General features: G+C 37.1%; 1 protein-coding gene and 1 pseudogene across 8 annotated transcripts in view, besides 1 other annotated feature; both read right to left on the reverse strand.

Moving 5' to 3' along the window:
• TMEM131 (transmembrane protein 131) overlaps positions 1–26,168 on the reverse strand; it is a 239,613-nt gene that overhangs the window by 139,312 nt on the left and 74,133 nt on the right. For 4 of the 8 annotated variants that reach the window (XM_011510869.2, XM_005263910.2, XM_005263909.2 and 1 more), the window contains 2 exons: positions 15,974–16,024; positions 13,011–13,051 (listed from right to left, as the gene is read on the reverse strand). In XM_011510869.2, the coding sequence (XP_011509171.1) occupies positions 13,011–13,051; positions 15,974–16,024 (92 nt within the window). The remainder of the gene's footprint in view (positions 1–13,010; positions 13,052–15,973; positions 16,025–26,168) is intronic. The other 4 variants (XM_047443844.1, XM_047443843.1, NM_015348.2 and 1 more) reach the window with 1 other exon arrangement.
• Positions 12,501–12,610: an enhancer, noted in NCBI's record as "active region_16246". NCBI's record gives its function as "activates an Ori minimal core promoter by ATAC-STARR-seq in GM12878 lymphoblastoid cells {active_cell/tissue: GM12878}" and the evidence as "EXISTENCE:reporter gene assay evidence [ECO:0000049][PMID:35858748]".
• RNU7-96P (RNA, U7 small nuclear 96 pseudogene) lies at positions 17,407–17,470 on the reverse strand (annotated as a pseudogene).

Below are 26,168 nucleotides of genomic sequence, written 5' to 3' on the forward strand. Positions count from 1 at the left end.
ATTTGCGTAGAGGTGTTTATAGTATTCTCTGATGGTAGTTTTTTATTTCTGTCAGATAAATGGTGATATCCCCTTTATCATTTTTTATTGCATCGATTTGATTCTTCTCTCTTTTCTTCTTTATTAGTCTGGCTAGTGATTTATTTTGTTGGTCTTTTCAAAAACACAGCTCCTGGATTCATTGATTTTTTGAAGGGTTTTTTGTGTCTCTATCTCCTTCAGTTCTGCTCTGATCTTAGTTATTTCTTATCTTCTGCTAGATTTTGAATTTGTTTGCTTTTGCTTCTCTAGTTCTTTTAATTTTGATGTTATGGTGTCGATTCTAGATCTTTCCTGCTTTCTCTTGTGAGCATTTAGTGCTATAAATTTCCCTCTGCACATTGCTTTAAATGTGTCCCGGAGATTCTGGTACATTGTGTCTTCGTTCTCATTGGTTTCAAAGAACATCTTTTTTCTGCCTTCATTTCATTATTTACCCAGTAGTCATTCAGGAGCAGGTTGTTCAACTTCCCTGTAGTTGTGCAGTTTTAAGTGAGTTTCTTAATCCTGAGTTCGAATTTGATTGCACTGTGATCTGAGAAACTGTTATGATTTCTGTTATTTTGCATATGTTGAGGAGTGTTTTCCTTCCAATTATGTGGTCAATTTTAGAATAAGTGTGATCTGGTGCTGAGAAGAATGTATATTCTGTTGATTAGGGGTGGAGAGTTCTGCAGATGTCTATTAGGTTTGCTTGGTCCAGAGCTGAGTTCAGGTCCTGAATATCCTTGTTAATTTTCTGTCTCGTTGATCTGTCGAATATTGGCAGTGGATGTTAAAGTCTCCCACTATTATTGTGTGGGAGTTTAAGTCTCTTTGTAGGTCTCTAAGAACTTGCTTTATGAATCTGGGTGCTCCTGTATTGGGTGCATATATATTTAGGATAGTTAGCTCTTCTTGTTGCATTGATCCCTTTACCATTATGTAATGCCCTTCTTTGTCTCTTTTGATCTTTGTTGGTTTCAAGTCTGTTTCATCAGAGACTAGGATTGTAACCCCTGCTGAAAAGGAGTATTCTTGTGCCATTGAATTACCTTGACACATCTGGACAAGAAGTTTTAAACTTGATCTTCAAAACATGTAGTTTAAATCTTCTGATGTTTTTCTTTTTAAAACTTGTTTGGTCTATTCTAGATGCTTAACGTTTTCCATCTAATCTTGAAAAGCAGCTTATCAATTTCTAAAAAAAAAAATTGTCTGTTGAAATTTCTATTGGAATTGCTTAATCTAAAACTGATCTGGGGAGAATTATCATCTTCACAGTCTTCTAATCCATGAACGCGGAATCTTTCTCAATATATCTAGGAGTTCTTTAATTACTCTATATTACAGTTTTCAGTGTACAGGTCTCAACATTTTTTTTGTTAAATTTATCCCAAAGTATGCAGTGATTTATGCCATTGTAAATCACATTTTTCTACAACATTTTATTTTTGTATTTGTTATGAAGAAATCAGTTACTTCTGATTACTGACTGTATTACTTTTTGGTATATTCCTTAGGACTTTCTATGCACACAATCACATGGTTTGTAGACAAAATCCTTTTTGTTTTTCCTTTCCAATCTGATGGCTCTTATTTCTGTTTCTTGTCTTAATGTAATGACTACCACATCCAGTACAATGTTTAATGTAAGTGATGAAAGTGGACATCCTTGCCACTTTCCCAATCTTAGAAAGAAAGCATTCAATCTTTTACCATTAATACCATGTTAACTGTTACTTTTCCATAGATACTCTTTATCAGGTTAAAGACATTCTTCTCTATTCTTAATGTGCTGAACAGATGCTGAATGTTGTCACAGGCTTTTTCTACATCTATTCAAATAATTACAAAGGCGTTTAAAATTTTGTTAACAAGAAAAATTATATTGTTTTCAAATAATAATCTTGCATTCCTAGGATAAAACCCTGTTGGCCATGATGCATTACCCTGTTATCACGTTTCTGGATTTGATTTGCTAATATTCTGTTAGAGATTTCTGAATATATGTTTGAAGAGATGTCGCTTCTAGCTTTCTTTAATGCCTGCAATAATCACCTCATAAAACGTGTAAGGAAGGACATTCTATTCCTCTTTTCTAAAAGCGTTTATGTAAGACTAGTAATTTTTCACTAGGTGTCTGATCGAATTTACCAGTTTAGTCATATGAGCCTGCAGTTTTCTTTGTGGAAAGGTTTAAAACTGTAAATTCTATGTCTTTAACAGATATTTAAAAACTAATTTTCTAATTCTCTCTTGGTTAGTTTTAATAATTTGTATCTTTCAAGTATTTGACCACTTCATCTAAATTGCTGAATTTGAGAATGAAGGGATTCATAATTTCTCTTATTCTTTGAATGTTTATAAGATCTGTAGTGATATCCCCTATTTCATTACTGATTTTTTTTGTCTGCCTTTCTTAACCAATCTAGCTACATTCAAAGAATCAGTTTTAGTTTACATTGATTTTTTTTCACTTTCTATTTAATTGATTTCTAGTATATCCTTTATTTTCTTCTATTTAAAGCTGATGCTCTATGTCTTAAACTGGAAATGTAAATTGTTCATTATAAAATTTTTCTTCTATCTGATATAAACTTTTAAAGCTATAAATGTCTATTTAAATACTGCTTTGGCTAAATTCCAGAAAACTTGGTATGTTGTTCTATGAATTGAATTCTCCCCCACCCCACCCGCTACCTCCAAAATTCACATATTGAAGCCCTAATCCCCACTATGACTATTATGTGGAGACAGGGTCTATAAGCAGGCAATTAAGGTTAAATGAGGTTATAATGGTGGGGGCCCTAATATAATGGGATTAGTATCCTTACAAAAAGAGACACCAGAAAGCCCCCATGCACACATGTGCACAAAGAGGGCATGTGAGTTACACAGTGGAATGGCTGCCACCTACAAGCTAGGAAAACAGGTCTCAGTGTAAAGTGACTACGCTGACACCTGATTTCAGACTTCCAGATTCCAAACTGTGAGAAAATAAATGTCTATTGTTTAAGCCACCCAGTTTATGGTATTTTGTTATGGCAGTCTAGCCCAAGCAGACTAAGATATGTTGTACTTTTGTTTTCAAAGCATTTTCTAATATCCCTTATGATTTCTTTCTTAACCCATGAGTATTGAAAAGCTTCTGGTTTAATTTCTAATTATAAAATATCTGGATTTTCATTGTTACTGATTTCTAATTTAATTTTGCTATAATCAGAGAGTATAATCTATATAATCTGCTCTTGGTGGATGTAGTGTTTAATAAATACCTATTAGGTCAAGTTACTTAATAGTGTTCTTCAAATCTACACCCTTGCTGATTTTCCATCTATTTTATCAGTTACTAACAGATGAATGTTGAAATCTTCCCTTAGTTTTATTCATTTTTTTCCTTCACGTACTTTAAAGCTCCAATATTAGAATCTGGGATTGTTGTATCTACCTGGGGAACTGTCTCCTTCATAATTGTAAAATGTCCTTCTTTATCTCTGATAATATTCCCTGTCCTAAAGTCTACTTTGTCTGAGAGTAACATAACCATCCCAGCATTTTAAAGATTAGTGTTTACTTGTTTTCCTAGGTCTTTTTACATTTAACCTACTTGCATACTTACGAAGAAGTGTATTTCTTCAAAATCAAGACTACTGATGAACAGGAGAAGACACTTGCAAAATAGGACTAATATCTCCAATATATAAAGAACTCTTAACTGAATCAGAAAAAATTAAAAGCACTATAGAAAAATGGGTAGAACAGTTATGAAGAGACAACATCAAGAGACAAATATAAGCATGGCTCTTAAATACCAGGAGATGGTTAACCTCACACATAATTAAAGACAAACTAAAACTACACTGTGATAAAATTTCTGACCTATCAGATCAGCAAAAATAAAAAATGTAACACATTCTGTTGGAAAGGATGTGGGAAACAGGCACTTTTTTTCACCAATGAGGGAATGCAAGGTGGCACAGACCTTGAAGGAGAATCTGTCAATGCTTAATGAAACAATGTCAGCATTTACTTTTGACTCACCAACCCCACTTCCAGGAATTTATCCTACACATAAACTTTATATCTATCCCTTTCCCTATTTGACAAGTGAAAACTGTATATATTTATGATGTACAACATATTTTAAAATATGTACACATTGTAGAATGGCTACATTGAGCTAATGCATGCATTACCTCACATAGTTGTCTTTTATGGTAAGAACACAAAATCTACTCTCTCAGCAATTTTCAAGTACACAATACGGATGCTTCTTGACTTATGATGAGGTGACATACCAATAAATCCATCATAAGTTGAAAATCACAAGTCAAAAATGTATTTAATACACCAACTTACTTTTAAGGTAGCCTAGTCTCCCCTTAAACATGCTCAGAACACTTACATTAGACTACTGTTGGGCAAAGTCATCTGGTAACATGGTACAGGTAGAGTATCAGTCGTTTACTCTCTGAATTGTGTGGCTGACTGAAAGCTGCAAGAGTATTGTACAGCTAGCCCAGGAAAGATCAAAATTCAAAATGTGAAATACTGTTTCTACTGAACATATACTGTGCTTTGGCACCATCATAAAGTCCAAAAACTGCTAAGCTGAACTTACACCTTCTAACTGAAATTTTGTGTCTTTTGACTAACATCTCTCAAATCTCCCTGGTCCCCACCCTCAAGCTCTGGTAACCACCATTCTACTCTCTGCTTCTATATTCTCCATTTAAGTGAGATCATGCATTATTCATCTTTCTGTACTTGGCTTATCACATTTAACATAATGTCCTCCAAGTTCATCCATGTTGTCATAAATGACAGGATTTCCTTATTTTTTAAGGCTTAACAGTATTCCACTATATATGTGTGGAATACTATTAAGAATCCACACAGACACACACACATACACCCCCACATTTTCATTATCCACGTGTCCACTGATGAACACTTAGGTTGATTCCTCCCTGTCTTGGCTATTGTGAATAATGCTTCAATGAACATGAGAATGCAGCTATCTCTTTGACATAATTATTTCATTTCTCTTGTATATATACCTAGTTATGAATTTGCTGGATCACATAGCAGTTCTATTTTTAATTTTTTTTAGCAACTGCCACACTGTTTTCCATAATACCTATACTAATTTACATTCCCACCAACAGTGAACCAGGGTTCCCTTTTCTACACATTCTTGGTCAATATTTGTTATCTTTTGTCTTTTTGATGACAGCCTTTCTAACAGGTGTGAGATGATAATGCATCTTTGTTTTGATTAGCATTCCTGATGACTGGCCATGCAGAGCATTTCTTCATATAACCGTTAGTCATTTCTAAACATATACATTCAACAATACAAATTACAGCTACACTTATCTTTTGATTGAGCAATTCAAGTTGTAGGAATTTACCCTGAATATAACCTTCAAAAATATGAAAATACATACACAAGAGATTATTCTTTGAAGCACTGTTTGCAATTGCAAAATACGGGAAACAAATGAAATGCTCATATATAGGACAGTGGGTAAAAAAATAATGGCACAAAAGTAAATTTTTTAAATGGGGATATTTTTGTTGCTTATGCTTTTGAGATCTTAGCCCTAAAATCTTAGCCTACATCAATGTCTTGGAACATTTCCTCTACGTTTTCTTCAAGTAGTTTTATAGTTTCGGGTCTTAGATATAAGTCTTTAATCCATTTTGAGTTGATTTTTGTATATGGTGAGAGATAAGAGTTGACCCAGCAATTCCACTACTGGCTATTTATCCAAAGGGAAAGAAATCAGTATTTCAAAGATACACCTGCAACCCCAGGTTTACCGTAGCACTATTCACAGTAGCAAAGATATGAAATCAACCTAAGTGTCCATCAATGGATGAACAAAGAAAATAGGTATATATTAAACACAATGGAATATTATTCAGCCATAAAAAACAATAAAATCCTGTTATTTTCAGCAACATAGATGGAACTGGAGTTTATGTTAAGTGAAACAGGCAAGGCACTGAAAAGCAAATATTGCATGTTCTGACTTATAGAAGGGAGCTAAAAAAGTTTATCTTGTGAAGGTAAAGAGTAGAATGACAGTCACCAGAGGCTGGGAAGCATTTGCTTTTTGGTGTGAGAGGGAGGATGAAGAGAGGTAGGCTACTGGGCTCAAGTATACAGTTATTAACAGACAGAAGGAATAAGCCCTAGTTTTTAACAGCAGGGCAGAGTGACTATAGTTAGCAACCATATATTGCATATTTCAAAGTCACTAGAAGAGAAGATTGGAAATGTTCCTAACACAAAGAAATGATAAATGTTCAAGGTGATGCATATCCTAAACACCCTGATTTGATCATTACACAGTCTATGCATGTATCAAACTATCACATGTACCCCATCAATATGTATTATGCAATAATAAAAAAAAATTTTAAAGTAGAGTAAAAATCCTAAATGGGATACAGAGAGAAACAAATAAACTAAACTTCATTTAAAATGTACAACACAGATGGGTGTGGGGGTGGGAGAAGGATGAAGAGAAAGATGAAGAACATTATAACCCATGTAAATTTAGAATACAGTATTTTGACAATATACACTCAGACTAAAGAAAAAACATGAACTCTAAACACCGTACTCTTTTTTTATGGCTGTAACAGTTAACAATTTTGAAACTAATTTATCTGTATTCTAGGATTGAACAAATCAATACACTTACTGTAGACAGATAACTGGAGCCAGATTTCTCATTGTTGGAGAATGGACAGAAACAGAATAGACAGAACACTGGTTTTGTATCAAAATTGGAGGCATCAGTAACTCACGGTTTTTAATATACACAGATACAAGAATAGGAATATGTTTGTGTATACTGTACATATTTATACACATAAACATAAACATTTTCTTCCTTTTACTAAGAGTCTAGAGATAATGACACCTCACTAATAATGACACCACTTGTGATGGTTAATACTGAGTGTTAACTTGATTAGATTGAAGGATATGATACAAAGTATTAATCCTGGGTGTGTCTGTGTGGGTGTTGCCAAAAAGAGATTAACATCTGAGTCAGTGGGCTGGGGAAGGCAGATCCACCCTTAATCTGGTGGGCACAATCTAATCAGCTTCCAGCAAATATAAAGCAGGCAGGAAAACATGAAAAGAGAGATGGGCCTAGCCTCCAAGCCTACATCTTTCTCCTGTGCTGGATGGTTCTCGCCCTTGAACGCTGGACTCCCAAGTTCTTCAGTTTGGGACTCAGACTGGCTCTCCTTGCTCCTCAGCTTGCAGACGGCCTATTGTGGGACCTTGTGATCGTGTAAATTAATACTTAATAAATTCCCCTTTATATATTTATCCTAACAGTTCTGTCCCTCTAAGAGAATCCTAATACATTACAGTAGCAATGAGTACACATGGCACATAAAGATTAATTTTTCAATATTATCTTCCACTAAAATGAAGCAGGAGTCTTTCAAGAAATAGGTTGTTCCAGGGCTGTGGCAAGGAAATTACAAAACAAGCCTGGAACATCCTAACATACCAGAAAGTAAGAAGTGCTCAATGATTGCTGGGGACACGTAAATGACACAGAATAGACCTAACTAAGCACGTGCGATTTTTTTATGACAGCGCAAATGATGGTGAAATACCTGGATAAAAATGAACTGTGACCTCAATCTTAACTTCAATCAGAATGTCAACTAAGAAACATAGATTAAGTGTGATAGAATTTTTAGAAAACCCAGCCAGCGCAATAACTGTTCCAGGCAAGAATCATCAGTAGATTCTAAAACTAGTCAGAGTTTCATGTAAAACACAGTACTTGCATAGTCTCAAAGTACTTCTCTGCAAGACACTTATGAATTATAAGAGAAAAATGGAACAAAGAGACGCCAAGTGCTTCCTGATAGGATGCATTGGGAGAGACACAAACTTCAGTAATATTCCACCAAAAATGCAAATTCTGAATCAAATAATGAGTAAATATCAGAAAACTCTAGCTGGGTTTGTTTGTTTATTTATTTATTTATTTATTTTGAGAGGGAGTCTTGCCCAGGCTGGAGTGCAATGGCGCAATCTCGGCTCAATGCAACTTCCGCCTCCCGGGTTCAAGCAATTCTCCTGTCACAGCCTCCTGAGTAGCTGGGATTACAGGCGCATTTTGTATTTTAGTAGAGATGGGGTTTCACCGTGTTGCCCAAGCTGGTCTCGAACTCCTAAACTCAGGCAATCCACCGCCTCAGCTTCTCAAAGTGCTAGGATTACAGGCTGTGAGCCACCGTGCCCAGGCCCATCTGGGTTATTCTATAAAATAAACAGCATCTACTCTTCAAAAATGTCAAAGTTCTAAGAGAGTAAGAAAGACAAATCAATAGTTCTACATTAGAGACTAAAGAGAAGTGAAAATTAAATATGAGGGTCTGAACCCTGGACCCCAAATTTTTTAAAATAAAAGACGTTAATGGGACAATTTACAAAATTCCAATGAGGCCTCTAGATTAAACAGCAGTATGAGACAGTCTTAATTTCCTGAATTTGATGAGTATATGATGATCTCTAAAACAATGTTCATGTTTATAAGAAATATACACTGAAATATTTAGGGGTAAAATAGCATCATGTCTACAAATGATTTTCAAATGCTTCAGAAAAATTATAAATACATGTACATGTATGTATAAAAAGGTAGCTATGGGGAGGGAAGGAAAAGGAGAGAGTTAAAAAAGAGAGATTAGGAGTGATAAAGCAAATATGAAAAAACATTAACAAATGAGGAATTTGGGTCAAGAAGATATAAGAATTATTTGTACTATTTTTCCATCTTTTCTCTAAAATTATTTCAAAACAAAAGGTAAAATATTAAATACAAAATTAAAATAAAGTTCTTGTAGACAAAATATGCTTGGGTCTTGCTTTTTAAATATAATCTGACAATTGGTGTTGAAATTATTCATTTACTACGGTTTCTGATATGTTTGGGTTTAAGTCTGCCATATTGCCATTTGTTTTCTATTTTTCCCATCTGCTTTTTATTCCTCTTGTTCTGTTTATGCCTTCTTTTAGATCAACTGAGTATTCATTTAGTATTTCATTCTATCTTCGTGACTAGTTTATTGGCTATAGTTCTTTTTTTTTTTTTGATTTTAATGTTTCGTGTGGGGCTTATTTCATATTACCACAGTTTAACTTCAAATAATATTGTACTACTTTACATAACATCTAAGAACCTTACAACTCAATTCTTCCATGCAACCCTCCTGTCCTTTGTGCTGTTATCACATATGCAATGTATACATGTTATAAACAATCATTTTTGTTTTTAAAATGTTAGAAATTAACATTTTGTTAACCAGAAAACATTTTTTATATTTTTCCACATATTTTTGCCTTTTTGGTGGTCTTTGTTCTTCGTAGGATCCGTGTTTTCACCTCAAATGGTTAACTACCTTTAGCCTGTAACATTTCTTAAAAGTGCCAGTCTACTGCAAATTTTCTCAGTTTTGTCTGAAAATGTCTTCATTTTTTTTGAAGGATATTCCTGCTGGAAGCAGTGTTTTAGATTAGCGATTTTTTCTTTTGGTACTTTAAAAATGTCATTTCATTGGTTTTGGGGTGGCATTTGTCCTTGATGAACAACCAGCAGTCATTCCTATCTTTTGAACTACTATATTTAGTTTTCTTCCCTGGCTGTTTCTCTATTTATGACTGATTTTCGACAACTTGAATATTATCTGGCTTGGTGTGACTTTCTGTGTTACTCTTGCTTCAGGTTTATTAAAGTTCTTTGACAGCTCCTCCCTCTCCCAATTCCTAGGAACTCACTTAGACATGTGTTAGACTGCTTGCTACTACTGTACCAGAGGTCACCAAGGGTTTATTTGTTTTTTAGTCATTTTTCTCCCTGTGCTTCAGTTTAAATTACTGCTGTCACTGTCTTCAAACTCACTAAGCTTTTCTTTTGCAATGTCTAGGTTGTTCTTAATCCTATCCAGTGAAATACTCATTTCAGAAACAACATTTTTCAACTCTAGAGGCTTCATTTGTTTCTTTTTCATACTGTCCATTTTCCCTCATTATGTTCATGTCTTCCTTTAAATTGCTGAACACATAAAATTGATGTATTAAATTCTCTGTAGAGGAACAGGCATCACCTGGATGCCACCGGCCCTCCTCAAGATAAGCCTCTGTAGCACAAAGCCTGTAGAAAATGAGATCTGCCAATATCCTCTGGCCGTTAAACACACCCAAATACCTCTGGAGGATATTGGAGACACCACTTCTGATGAGGTTATAAAGCATATGTGTTGATGAAATGACAAAATGCAATCTACTCTAAAAGAAAGCTGTGCTTTTGAAGAGGGTCTTATAAACGGATGCTGTAAGCCTCTCAGGGTTTAGTTGTAAGGGGTATCAAGACACCTAAGGTATATGTTAGTGGTCCATATGGTTATCAGTCTTTCATCAGCATCAAAACAGTCTGCCAGGCCCAAGTCTGCAAGCCCTTGATCCTAGACTTCTGAGCCTCTAGAACTGTGAGAAATAAATGTCTGTTGTTTAAGCCACTCAGTCTATGGTATTTTGTTATAGCATCCTGGACTCACTAAGACATGTTTTAGGGCTTAACCCAGTCCCATACCCAATCTGCATACTAATTTGAATTAAATATTTACCCAACTCATGATCCTGGTCACACACACACAAAATGTAAAATGTGACAGTTGTAAATTCTGTCTACAAACCTAATATTCCTGTCATCAGTAGGTACGGAGCTCTTTCTCCCCACCCTTATCTTGAATCTAGGCCAATCTAAGTGACTTGCTGACTAATAGCATATGGCAGCAGAAGTAATATTATGACTTCCAAGGGCAGATTAAGGTGATACAGCTTTCACTAGTTTCCTCTGGGACATTCACTCTTGGAGTCCAGCCATCATACTAGGAGGAAGCCCAAACTAGCCCATGTGAAGGCCACACAAAGAGGCCTACATATAGGCATTCTAGTTGAGAGCTCAGCTGAGGTCCCAGCTAGAAACTAGCATCAACATGTAATGAACATGCCTCCAGCTCCCAGCCATCAAGTCATTTCCAACTCTGAAATCTCCCCAGCTGAGTCCCCAGATCATGGAGAAGAGACAAGCTGTCTTTGCTGTCCCCTGCCTGAATTTCTGACAGAGTTTGAGAGCATCATAAAATGGTTATTTTATGCCACTAACTTTTAGATAGAAGTAGATAATAGATAAGTAGAGCATGAGATGAGAATATAATTATGTACTGATGTCAATTCTTCATTATACTAGGAAAATACTTAAAGCCCAAATTTTGATCACGAATGAACATCCTCATCTTCGTAAATGTAGTGCAGTCTAATTCCACAGCTAATTTCCTAATTGCTGGAATAAAGAATCAAGGAAGAATCACAAGATAACATATATGTTTTTCTCACCATTATTTTGGCTCTAGATGTGGTTAGAGAGTTCTAGGGTTCTTAGATGGTCCAGCCAAGGAGGAATCAGGCTAAACATGCAGTGGTTTGGAGACAACCCATGCCAGTGTTAAATATTTGGGCAAGATTCACAGACAGGGCAGGTCCCAACAGGGCATATAATATTAGAGAGAATGACAGAACAATGGGGGAAAAGGGCCATGTTACTGCAGAGATGAAAGAGTAAAAAGAGAAAAAATAGTGAATACTAAAGAATTTTCATTATTTATGAGGTAAGAAGTTTTAATTGTCCTCCTAATAGTCTGAATATTTTATATTTCTCTCTCAAAGCAAAATTCTTTGTTGATGCAGTCTGCATTTCGCTAGTCTGGAGACATTCATAGATGTACTTTAAACATGAAGGCCTAGGAGGAACAAATGCTTCCCTGTTCCTGCTACATCAGAATGGAAACTGCAGTGATGACAGCAAGGGTGGGGACACCTTCTGTTGCCATAGCCACTTTGGTAGCTAAGTGTCTGATTTCAGTGGATAGTAATAATTTTTAAGGATAAATTTGCCTTGCTGTCATTTAAGGAATAAATATACTGACAGAATAAAACATACTTCTAAAAACACACACTGTAAAATAACTGGGTTCTTAAATCCATGATGTGGGCTCCTTACCTGAAAGCCCTATTGACACCACTGCCAGCCGTTCAATTGTTACTAAAGGGCGCTCACTAGAACAGGTACTGGTGCCTGACTAGTTGTTTCTGGCAAACAGGAAGAGCAACTATACCATTACGCTGAATCTTCTAAGCTAACTTCCTTTACATCTATGGTCCTCCGGGGAGCAATCATTAAGGGCTGGGAGTGAACACAAAATAGCTGCTGGAGGGACTGTTTTATCCAACTCAAAGAAAGCTCTCTCTCACCTTTAGGCACCAGAACAGACTTTCACCGCATATAGAAAGAGAATCAGCACAGTATGTCTCTTTACAGATGTGAGAAGGTATCAAAAGACCAAATAATTTGGTTGTGAGGAGGCAGGAAAAGTGTCTCCAAATTCACATGCATGTACCTATTTTCCTTAACACCTGAGGTAAAACCATCCCCCTGTTATCACAGGGAAGCTGTATTTAAAAGCGGTCTCTCCAAGTCACAAGACTGGGTTTCGCAGGTCTGAGATCCTTCTCTGGGGGCCTGCGGGCAGACCCCTGGTAACTGGGGGCAGCAGTGGTCAGTACATCAAAAGCAGGGATAGCCACAAGAGAAGCCTCTAAGGAGTTACACAGCTGATCATCTCACAAAGCAAGGGGAGTTTCAGCTGAGTAACAGCCCTTCGTACACGACAGGGGAGGCATGCTACACAATTGCATGATGTGCACATTCAAACTTAAACCTGGTTTCCCACACACAACACTTAGAAATAATCATATAATGTGATTTACAATTTGCTATTCCTTCTTCACCAAAATGAGCAAGGGGAAAGAGGAGGGAGAACCACAGGAATCCCCCAGAAGGAACCGAAAGTATGTTAATTATCTTATTAAATATACTTACCTTTTCTGCTGATATGAACTGAGTCCAAGTGTTGTCTCGGTCTGTAAAAGGAATAAAATAATGATTAAAAAACTGAAGCCAAATATTTATATTACAGACATATGGAATATCCAAAATATTCTATTTTAGTTTCAACATTCATTTTATACCCATTTGGATTTTAAGGTTAAACCTGGTCTCCAAATCACATACAATGACTAGATCAAATTGTAAACACACATGAAGTAACAGAAAGTAATGCGATGGATTTTTAAAAGTGTGCCAAACCGACACATCCTGAGAACAGCCCCTTTGACAATCACTTTGTGAGGCTGCTGTGCCTCGGACTGTTCCCTGCTCACTAACTGCTTGCCAGGTGCTGGTGGTAATGATTCCCACTGTCATGGAACTCAAGGTACAGTGGGTGGTGTGTGTGAGGGAGATAGTCATTTAAAAATACATATTTATATACTGAAATAGGATTATCAAAATATTGAAAAGGTGCTGTGAACAGGAATAAATAGTTGCCATACTTAAACACATCATGAAGGAAGGCCTGTCTGAAGAGACAATATTTACATAAAAACCTGAAGGATTAAAAAAAGCAGTGTGGCAGTGGGATGGATGGTGGTAGAGAAAACAGCACATGTGAAGGCCCTCATAGAGAGCAGAGGTTGGTATGTTCAAGAAACAGATGGCAGGTCTCTCTGCTGGAGCTGGGAGAGAAGGAGAAAATGAGACTGGAGGGCTAAGCAGAGGCCAGATAATGCTCTGCCTTGTAAGGAAGTCATGGGAAGAAGTTTGGTCTACTTTAGGTTTTAAAGATAAGGAAGATGAGAAAAAGTAGGAAGTTGGAGGCAACAGCTGTAGTTCAGGTGATGAAGAAATGGAAGTTCTTATTGATGTACGAGAAAATGCCAATGCTATAAGGAATACCATCAGTGAACTTATCCCAAAAGGTTATCTGCTACATCAAAATGAGAAAAAACAGCATTATTTTTTCCCAATAATATATATTATTTTGAAATAGTATTTTGGAGACTGTTTATGCAGAAAATGTGGCAGATGTAGAAAACTGTCCTAATTTTTTCAAGATGCGTACTAGGTAAAGTGTAAGGGTGTCCTTAATTTTCTTTGAGATGTCTTGGCAAAATAATTTGTGTGTGTGGGGAGGTGTATGGATAAAGCAAACACAGCAAAATGGTAATAACCGTTGAGTCTGGGTGGTAAATGAGTTGGTATTGGTTGAGCTCTTCTATTTTCTGTAAAGAAAAATTTCTTTAACTTTTTATTATGAAAATTACATCTATTCCCCATGCAGTGGGAGAAAATATTTATAAATCAAATATCTGATGAGATTAATATCTAGAATATATCAAGAACTCCTGCAACTCAATAACAGAAGAACAACCAAACTAAAAGGTGGGCAAAGGACTCAAACATTTCTCCAAAGAAAATACACAAATGGCCAGTAGGCACTTTAAAAGATGCTCAACATCACTAACCATTAGGGAAATGCAAATCAAAACCACAATGATACCACTTCATACCTGTTTGGATGACTACTATTTAAAATTTTAAAAAGAAAATAAGGATCTTTGGCAAGGATGTGGTGAAACTGGAACCTTTGTGCACTGTTAGTGTGAATATTAAAATGGTGTAGCCACTATGGAAAACAGTATTGTGGTTCCCAAAAAAATTAAACATAGAATTACCATACGACCCGCAATCCCACTTCTGTGTATATACCCTAAAGAACTGAAAACAGGGGCTCAAAAAGATACTGCATGAACCCACATTCACAGCAGTATTATTCACAACCATTAAGGGGTAGAAGCAACCCAAATGCCCATTGACAGGTGAACAGATAAACAAAATGTGATTTATACATACAAGGGAATACGATCCAGTCTTAAAGAGGAAGAAAATTCTGACACATGCCACAACAATGTAAAAGCGTTCCTATTTCTCCACATCCTCCCCAGCATCTGTCGTTTCCTGACTTTTTAATGATTGCCATTCTAACCGGTGTGAGATGGTATCTCATTGTGGTTTTGATTTGCATTTCTCTAATGACCAGTGATGATGAGTTTTTTTTTCTTATGTTTGTTGGCTGCATAAATGTCATTATTTCTGAGGCCTTTGTTCTGTTCCATTGGTCTACATACCTGTTTTGGTACCAGTACCATGTTGTTTTGGTTACTATAGCCTTGTAGTATAGTTTGAAGCCAATTTCTTACAAAGTTAAACATACACCTACCATATGACCAAATCACTCCACTCCTAGATATATGCCCAAGAGAAACAAAAGCATTTGTCCGTACAATGAATGGCTTGTACATAAATGTTCGTAGCAGCTTTGTTACAGCTCAGTATTGGAACAGCCCAAATTTCCACCAGCCCAAACTTCCACGTATCCAGGTGAACAGACACATGAGTTGTGTTATATCCGTACAATGGAATACGACTCAGCAATAAAAAGAATAAGCTATTGATATACAAAACAACACAGATTAATCTCAAAATAATTATGCTGAGTGGAACAACCCAGACCCTCAAAAAAGTACATTCTGTATGACTCCATTTATATAAAGTGTTTTAAAATGTAAACTTCCTGACAGTGACAGAAAGCAGACTGGTGGTTGCCTAAAGATAAGGAGCGTAAAGGGATTACCAAGGGGCACAAGTAGACTTTTAAGGGTGACACGTATGTCCATTATCTTGATTGTAGTAATAATTTCACAGGTACATAATTATGCCAACTTTTTAAATTACATAATTTAAACACATGCAGTTTATTGTATGTCATTTATACATCAATAATGGTTATGACAGAATTCTAGAGCATGAGAAGCTATGGTCTCACATGAAGTCTACAGAAAAGGAACTCAGGACGTGTATCACTCATGTGCACTTTCTTGAGGAGAAAAAAATTATCATGAAGACAGAATCTGACCACTGAAATTACTCATACGAAGACTCACAAATGAGGAAGCTGTCTTGTGAAAGATAAGCAGATACTCAATGCAAAGGATCTGTGGAAATAAAGTTAGAAAATCAGAAAATAAATATTGTTTTTGAAGTATATGCCACAAAACAGAAAAATAATCATTTAACTGTAATAAACAAGAATAAAAATCTCAGAACATGCCAACACATCCTTAAGTGTTATGAGAATAAGGAAGATCACAATAGACACTATTTTGTTTCTGAAGCAATTTGAGAAATAAAGGCATAAACATATCTTAAAAGTATATCTGAAAATTGAGCCCCATTATCAAGAGATTAAAAACAAAACAAAAGCCAATATGAATGCATAAAAAGCAGATGGAAAAGATTAAACACATCTACAGTGAGACTAAATAAGATAAACTCAACTGTTTATATAAAGACAAAAGGATTGCATCAAACAACTGGAACCTAACTATAACAATTTAATACAAAATGCAGAAATGTCAAAGGTCAGAGAATGGGCAAAAATAAACACTGAATAAGGATAAAAACAGGCAAATAAGGATTACAACATTAATAACTTTACAATGTAAAGATACATAAAAACTGTTATAATTCGACAGTGAAAAGGAAAAAAGGAAATGGGAAAACCAATGTTGTGACTGAAATGTAAGCAAAGGGCAAGAAGACAATTCACTAAAGAAAAATAAATGGCCAATAACCATATGAAAAAGATGATCAACCTCAGTAGACAGTAAAGCAATCTCTAGAGGACAGGGAAATTCCATAGTTTGCCATTTGACTGGCAGGGACCTTTGAACCTCATGAATTCACATCCAGAGATAAGGGTCTATTAAGAGTACTCAGAGCCCTAGAAAATGCCCATGCCATGCATTTTTTTAATCTTCTATCAAATATAAGACACTCCTACAATGTTTCAAAGGCAATTTCACTGAATCACAGAAACTTTAGTGATTCTTAACTCACTGCAAATTCTCTTCACCACATCTCTTTAGAACAGACAAGATATAACAGGGGTGTTCTTTCACCTCAGGTGTTAAGGAAAATATGTATATGCATGTGAGTTTGGAGACACCTTTCCTACCTCCCCATCCCCAAATTCTTTGGTCTTTCGGTACCTTCCCACCCATGCTTCTGTCATACTTAAGGACTTCAGCTTCAACCTCGCTCCTCACTAGGGTGCAGATTCCAAATAATCTGAGCACAGCTTCTCTCAGAATGCACTCCCAACTCCAAAAGGGGATATGCGGGAGGAAAATGGACTCTTCTTCCAATCAAATAGACCAGCCTCGGCAAAAATATATGTGATATGCTTTAAAATATTATTAAATTCTTTTATAAAACGAACACATCTGATAATTTTATCCCTGTAACTCAGTGGTTCTCAACCGAGGGCAATTTTGTTTCCCTGGGGGAATTTGGCAACGTCCAGAAGCATTTCTCTGTGTGCGGGTTTTTATTAACACCAAAAAACATGCTGGACAAATTCTAAAAGAGTTAAAAAACTAAGAGGCATTTTTGTTTGTCGCAAATCAGGGGGCCACTAACATTAAGTGTGTAGAGTCCGGCCTGCTGCTAAACACCCGGTAATGCACAGGACGCTCTTTCTTCTACCCTACAACCAATTATCTGGTCCAAAACGTACACAGGCCAAGACTGAACATCGTACTACAACCTCAATTTTATAGAGATATCAATAATTTAGATGTTCATTTGTAATAACATCTCCTTGCCTTTTAATTCAAAGTGCGTTACTGTCTTAACTGTGTTTGTATTTCCAGTGGTCCTTGCAGTTCTTAACACACTGGAGATAAATACAGAATTCATTTTACAGATAAAGAAACTAAGCCTCTAAATGTTCTAAATTAGCAAATGGTAAGAGTTAGAATTCAAATCCTTCGATCTGGTCTAGTACTGCATTCATACAATAACCTATCCTTGACAGAACTGCATATGCCTAAAACCAACTTTTAGCTTACATGAGCTGAAGTTGGCTATATTATTGCTAACAAATTTTAAGATGGCCATACTTTTATACTGCATTATTGTTAAACAGAAGATTTAATCTTGTTAGAAAAATAAAATGAAATTCACTTCAGAATGAGGTACGTGGCAGTTGTGCACACGGCATGGATGCTTAGAAATAAGACAAGGTCTGCACACCCTAGAATTTAAGCTTCTTGATGGTACAGGCAGCACATGCACACAAACCCGTGGTACCAGGAAGCCACACCAGGCGCCATTTGAGTATTACTTACATACTGGGCAGCTTTCCCCAGGGATATACCTGGGAGCCAGTTTCCTTGCAGGCGATGAGACTATGCTTCTCTGTCACCTTTAGAGACAAAATTACATACTTCCTCCAGGACTGGGTTGGGGGAAGGTAGAGGATGAGGTCTGCTTTTGATTATGAAGATCTCAACATGTAATCCTACTTCTTATCAACCCAATCTCCCCCACAAAGTTCTCTGCAAATCATCTCATAGTGAAAATGGATGACATCTGTGAGGGAGTTTTAAGAATTTTTAACTCACAAAAGGGGTCTTTCCTGACTTTCTAATTGTTTTGCTTCCTGTGCTTCTCTGTGTGTATGTATTTTTAACATGAATTTTCACTGAGATAACTGTAGATTCACATGCAGTTGCAAGAAATAGTAAAAAGAGCTATATTTTAACTCAGTTTCCCCACTGTATCATTCTGCAAACACTATGGCATAACATCACAAGCAGCACAGCGACACTGGTACGATCCACCTGCCTTGTTCAGAAGGTCTCAGTTTTGTATGTCCTCATTTGTGTTTGTTCATGTATTTAGTTCTACACAATTTTCTCTGCTGTGTAGGTTCATGAACACCAGTCAAGACACAGAACAGTGTCAGCACCCTGAGAATCCAGTGTGTCGCTTTTATAATCACACTCATCTTCCTCCTGCCCTTCCCCCCAAGCCCTGGCAACCATTCCTCTATTATTCATGACTAAAATTTTTTCATTTTAAAAAGGTCATATAAATGAAATCATGCACATGTAACCTTTTGGAGTTGGCTTTTTTCACTCAGCCTAATTCTCTGGAGACTTACCCAGGTTGTTGTGTGTGCCAACACTTTATTCCTTTTTATTGCTGAGTTGTATTCCATGGTATGAACGTATCACTGTTTAACAGTACATCTACTGAAATACATCTGGGTTGTTTCCAGTTTGGGGCTATTATAAACAGAGCTGCTATGAACATTTATATACATGTTTTAATGCAAATATAAATTTTCATTTCTTTGGGAGAATCCCCAAGAGAGCAATTAGTAGGTCAATTATAGTAACCACATGTTTAGATTTATACGAAACTGCCAAACTGTTTTTTCCAGAGTAGCTGTATCACTCACATACCCTCTAGTAATGCATGCGTGATCCAGTTTCTCCACATCCTTGCCAGTATTTGGTGTTGTCACTGTTTTGTGTTTTGGGTTTTAATTTGCATTGCCTGGTGGCTAACAATGTTGAACAGGTTTTCATGTCGTTTTTACCATCTGTATTTCCCCTTCAGGGAAATGTGTGCTCATCTCTTTTCCCTGTTTCCTTTATTTTTATACTATTGAGTTTCGAGAGTTCTTTCTATATTCCAGAAACTAGGTCCATTGTCAGGTGTGTGACTTGCAAATATTTTCTCCTAGTCTATATTTATCTTTACATCTTCACATGGTCTTTTGCAGAGAAAGGTTTTGTTTGTTTGTTTTTGTGAGACCAGTCTGGCTCTGTTGCCCAGGCTGGAGTGCAGCAGTGTGATCATGGCTCACTGCAGGCTTGATGTCCCAGGCTCAAAAGATTCTCTGCTTCTGACTCCTGAGTAGCTGGGACTACAGGTGCACACCACCACACCTGGACAATTTTTTATTTATTTTATTTACTTACTTTTTATTTTACTAGAGACAAGGTCTCACTATGTTGCCTAAGCTGGTCTTAATTAAACTCCTGGGCTCAATGGCTCCTCTTCCCTTGGCCTCCCAAAGTGCTAGAATTACAGGCATGAGGTACTGCGTCTGGCCCAGAGCAAGTTTTAAATTCATCGATCTTTCCTTTATACATTGCACATCTGGTATTAATTCTTTGGTGTCAAGAACTCTTTGCCTAGCCCTGTAAGCTGAAGCTTTCCTCTTAGTTTTATTCTCCCTAAAGGTTTTATTATAGTTTTACATTAAGTCCATGATCCATTTTGAGTTAGTTTTTGTTTAAGGTGTGAGATCTTTCTATATTCAGACTTTGCATACCATTTTAGTATTCTGTGGTATTCTTTATTCCTAGTTTTTAAGGCTGTTTCTTATTTTATTTTAATAAAATAAAATTTTGCCTGTTGCCCAGGCTGGAATGCAGTGGAGTGATCTCAACTCACTGCAACCTCTGCCTCACGAGATCAAGCAATTCTCCTGCCTCAGCCTCCCAAGTAGCTGGGACTACAGGCATGTGCCAGCACGCCCAGCTAATTTTTTTTAATTTTTAGTAGAGATGGAGTTTCACCATGTTGGTCAGGCTGGTCTCAAACTCCTGACCTCAAATGATCCACCCGCCTCAGCCTCCCAAAGTACTGGGATTATAGGCGTGGGCCACGGCACCCAGCCTTAAGGCTGTTTCTGAACCCGCTATTTATTCTTCTTTTGTACCACTTATTGTACTACAATAGAGGGCAGGAAATAGTAGTAAAGGGAGAATCAAAATGAGGATGAAGTGGGGAGCAGGTATTTCTGAGAAGACTCAAAATTTAAAGTAGAAAATAAAAACCTGTGTGCAAACACCAGCTCTGCCCTCACTAGCCAAATACCCTTGGGGAAAGTCTGTAAAAGCAGCATTCTGCCAACTACAAGGAGCTGCAGAGCTGTTGGCCTCTGATGACGGCTTTCTAGTGTCCCACCCACTTCTCTCTTCAGCCACAGGTAATCAACTTGACATGACATGAAGTGGCTGTTTTGAGTACAAAATTAGTTGTAATATTGTAAAACTGATAATGTAGAGTGAGAAAATCTAGCTTTGTTTGCAGAGAGAAAAATAACTGAAAAAACAAAAAGCACTACCTTGTAGTACATTTAGGCAGTGGGATACAAGGGTAATGACCCCTGTTATTGCAGAGCGGTTAAAAACTTAGGCCTCAGAGTCAAATGCTTGGTTTTCAATTCTAGCTTTATCACTTAATAATCATTTATTTGGTTAGGTTAAACTCCCTGCACTTTAATATGCTCACCTGTAAAATGATCATAAAATGAATACCATCTCATGTATTTAAGAATTTAGAAGAGTACCTGACTTGTCAACACCCAATAAATATGACTTATATTTATTATTTTTTCACATTTTTCAAATTTTCTACAAGCTTATATTTCTTTTATAATAGAAGTCCTTTAATTTAAAACAAAAGATGAGTACTTCTAGGCCTCCTTACAAGTCAAAATCACAGCTCCTTCTCCATTTCCTTTTCTCCTGGGAGAACATTAAAGCCCATTTCCAAGACAATTTAGAAAAGAAGTTGGTAATCTATTAGCCCATGAGCCAAATCCAGTCTTCTGCCAGCTTTTGCAAATAAAGTTTTATGCCCATTTCTCACATACTGTTACGGCAGCTTTCACACTACGATGACCAAAGTTGAATAGTTGTGATAGAGACCATTCGGGACACAAACCCTGAAGTAGTTAATATCTGGTCCTTTACCGAAAAAGTTTGCCAACATCTGGCTTAGATCAACAGAAATAATGCCACAATATCTTATTTCCAGAATCATTAAGTCCCTACATAAGAAAATCTGTGACCTAAAAATCTAAGGCAATCTGGCATAGCATGTCCTCAAGAAAAATACAGACAATGTACAGTCCCACTAGTGAACTGCAGTACAATTCTGATGCTAACCATCTGCATTAGTCTGTTCTCACACTGCTAATAAAGACATACCCAAGACTGGGTAATTAATTCATAAAGAAAAGAGGTTTAACTGACTCACAGTTCTGCAGGGCTTGGGACGCCTCAGAAAACTAACAATCATGGCGGAAGGGGAAGCAAACATATTCTTCTTCACATGGCAGCAGCAAGAAGTGCTGAGCAAAGGGGGAAAAGCCCCTTATAAAACCACCAGATCTCATGAGAACTCACAATCACAAGAACAGCATGGGAGTAACCGCCGCCATGATTCAATTACCTCCCAGCAGGTTCTAGCAAGCTTCAGTATCCAGTTTCATCAGGTAGGTAAGGTATGGCTGATTCAATCACTGACCACCATGTGACCCAACTCACATTTCGGCTTCCCTAGAGGAGGGTGGGTTGGCTCAAAGCCCAACCCTCTAATCACATGATTGGTTTTTTTCTCTCTTTTTTTTTTTTTTCTTGAGACAGAATCTTGCTCTGTCACTGAGGCTGGAGTGCAGTGGCACGATCTCGGCTCACTACAACCTCCGCCTCCCGGGTTCAAGCAATTCTGTGTCAGCCTCCCGAGTAGCTGGGACTACAGGCGCATGCCACCATGCCTGGCTAATTTTTGTATTTTTAGTAGAGACGGGTTTTCACCATGTTGGTCACGCTGGTCTCGAACTCCTGACCACAGGCGATCCACCGGCCTCAGCCTCCCAAAGTGTTGGGATTACAGGTGTGATCCACTGCGCCCGGCCAACATGGTTGGTTTTTCTGATGACCAACCCCCATCTTGAGTATTCTCATTAGGTATAAACTCAGATGTGATCCAAGGGACTCATGAATAACAAAGACACTCTTATTATTAAGAAAATTCCAAGATTTAGAGCATCTTCAGGACCAGAGACAAAGACCAGATTACTGCACAACTAGCTATAAAATCTTCTTGCCAAGAAAAACAAATGAATTTAAACCTAATCAAGACTCTAGATTTAGCTAACAGTTTACAGAAAATTCACACCATAAGTGAATGTTAAATGACACCAAGAGGATGAAAATAACCAAACTGAGAATGTAGGAAATCCCACAGACAAATGAGCCAATTTCATTAACAACAACAACAACAAAAACAACAACAAAAAGGCGGGTGGGGGAAATAGCATAAAGGAGACTTAGGAGACATAGCAACCAAATGCAATGTGTAGACCTTGTCTCGATCCTGTTTTGGACAAACCAAATGCAAAAAGGCATTTCTGAAGCAGTGGAAGAAAACTGAACACAGACCAACCAAGTCTGATATGATATATCAAGCATTCTGGTTATCTACTGCTGCATAATAAAGCAGTCTAAGGTTTAGCGGCTTAAAACAATTTATTCTCACTTAAAGTCTCTTTTGTATTGCAGTTACATGTGATTTCAGGCAGCATTTGTCTGAAAGTTCAAATGTGTTGGTTGTCTAAGATGGCTCATTCACGTGATGGGAAAGTGATGCTGGCTGTCAGCTGGGAGCTCAGCTGGGACTGCTGACCAGAAGACTACATGTGGCCTTTCCATGTGGCTTAAGTTTCTCACATCACGGTGATTCACTTCCCAAAAGAAACGTTCCAAAACTGACAGACCCAGGTAGAAGTTGTCAAGCTTCATAAGATTTAGCCTTAGTGGTACCAAAATGTTCTGCCACAATGCATTAGTCAAAACATTATTATTATTGTTCTACAAAGTATACATTCATTTAGTTATCCACACACTTAAACATTTTTAATGTTCTTTATTCCTTTGCGTTTCTGAGCTTCTAAAATCATTTACCTTCAGCCTAAAGACTGTATTATTTCCTTTGGCACAAATTTTCTGGTGACAAATTCTCTCCATTCTTATCTATTTTAAAATGTCGATTTCACTTTCATTTGTAAAGGATATTTTCATTGGGTATAGAATTCTAGTTTGGCAAATTTTTTCAGTAAATTTTATTATATATTATTTTTGCCTCTCATTGTTTCAGTCTATAAGTCAGCTGTCAGGCTAATTCTACCTTCTTTGAAGGTCTCTCTTTTTCTCTAGTTGCTTTTAGAATGTATCTCTTTGGCTTTGACTTTTCTTTTTTTGAGATGGAGTTTCACCTTTGTTGCCCAGGCCGGAGTGCAATGGCACGATCTCAGCTCACTGCAACCTCCGTCTCCCGGGTTCAAGCGATACTCCTGCCTTAGCCTCCTGAGTAGCTGGGATTACAGGCATGTGCCACCATGCCTGGCTACTTTGGTATTTTTAGTAGAGACAGGGTTTCACCATATCGGTCAGGCTTGTCTCGAACTCCTGACCTCAAGTGATCCACCTGCCTCAGCCTCCCAAAGTACTGGGATTACAGGCATGAACTACTGCGCCCAGCCTGGCTTTGATTTCCAATATTTTTTCTATGAACAGCTCAGATCTCCCTACAAGGAAGAACTTGGCATTCAGTTGTGAAAAACACTGTTGGCTACCAGCCTCCACCTATGTACTCTGGGATCAACTGTGGCATTTGAGGTAAGGCCACGTTCTTCTTGGGCTCCTCCCAGACAATGAATGAGCACAGCAGGTATACTAGGGCCTGGCCAACTCTACCCAGTGCAGGATGCTTCCAATGGGCAATCTTTGCTCCAGAGCTCCCCACTGGGTTGGCCGAGATTCTGCATCACAGTCTGAGACTCTCCTTGCCCAATCCTGCTTTCTTTAGCTTATTTTTCACAGGCAGTAGCCCTCAATCTCTTGCACTCCTAATTCTGTCTCAGGATCTTGTTGAGAACTCAAACTGACATGTGATAAAGGCTATCTTGGGTGGGGGTGGCAAAGGGGGCAGTGAAGAAAAAATCGTATCTAACCGTGAAATATTGAATGTTGTATTTCTGAGATGAGGAAAGTGTCAAAGAGGACTACTAAATAGCACTGTATTAACATCATACTGGCTGTAGCTAGTAAAGTTAAGGTAAGAAAAAGAAAAGGTAGAATGTGTGACAGTTGATTTTGAGTGCCAAACTGAAGAAATGTCATCAAGCTCAGATGATAGTTTATGGAGGTTGTTCAAAAGCATCTACAGCTAAGTTATTAGAATCAATAAGTAATTTAGCAAGTTTTCAGGATACACAGCAAATATATTAAAAGCAACCACATTTCTACATTTTATGTTGAGTCGTATGAAATTGCCACTTTTATAGATCAATAAAGGCCGGGCATCAGCAATATGCTTCAACCTAATAATGACAAAAAGCGAACATTTTGAAAAAATGTCACTTACAGTAGTATTAAAAAATACCAAAGCCCCAGAAATAAATCTATCGAAAGATGTTCAAGATCTTTATGCAGAATATAAAATTATGAGATAAAGAAGACCTAAATAAGTTGAAAAATATACTGTCTCAGACTGTCAGACTGAATACTGAAAATTCTGAAAGATTTTTAATTCTTGCCAAATTGATCTTCAGATTCTGAGTGACGCTAATAAAAAATCCCGAGTGTGTGTGTGTGTGTGTGTGTGTGTGTGTGTGTGTAAAGCTAATTGAAAAGATACATATGGAAGGCAAAGAACTGAGAATAACCAAGACATTACTGAGAAGAATAACAAAGTGTCAGGATTTGTTCTACCAAATATCAAAACTTTAAAAACTATAGTCATTAAAACGGTGACCCTGGTATTAGGATAGACAAATAAGCCAAAGAAATCCAATACAGTGCCCAGAAACAGGCTCACACATATATGGACACTTGATTTATGAATAAGGTGTCACTGACAAATACTAGGGAAAGAAAACATTGGGAAATAGTCAATAAAGGATGCTGAGACAATCAAATACAAGAAATAAAATCTTGATCTCACATCAATAACAAAAATTTATTCCAGACAGAATTTGAGCTAACTGTGAAAGGCAAAACAGTAAAATTCTAGAATACGGGAGAATATCTTCACGACCTTGGGATAGAAAAACATTGAACAAGACACAAAATAAAAAAGTATTAACCATAATGGAAAATACTGACAGACTGAACTTCATTAAAATTAAGAATTCCTGTTCACTAAAAGTCACCATTACATAAGCCAAAAGGGCAATCCATCCAGTGAGAGAAGCTATTTTCAATATATGTAACCAATAAAGAACTCATGTAATGGAACTGATTTTTGTTACTGCTGTGAGGTTACGGCTCCAGGAAAGATCTTGTATTCAGAACTTATAAAGAACCTCTACAAAACAATGGGAAAAAAGACATGCAAACCAACAGCAAAATGGGTAAAAGACTTAACGGATGTCACAAAGGAAGATATCCAAATGGTCAAGTAAACATGAAAAGTTGCTCAGCTTTA

Source organism: Homo sapiens, chromosome 2, assembly GCF_000001405.40.
Source record: "Homo sapiens chromosome 2, GRCh38.p14 Primary Assembly".
In the NCBI taxonomy this organism is placed as follows: Eukaryota; Metazoa; Chordata; class Mammalia; order Primates; family Hominidae; genus Homo; species Homo sapiens.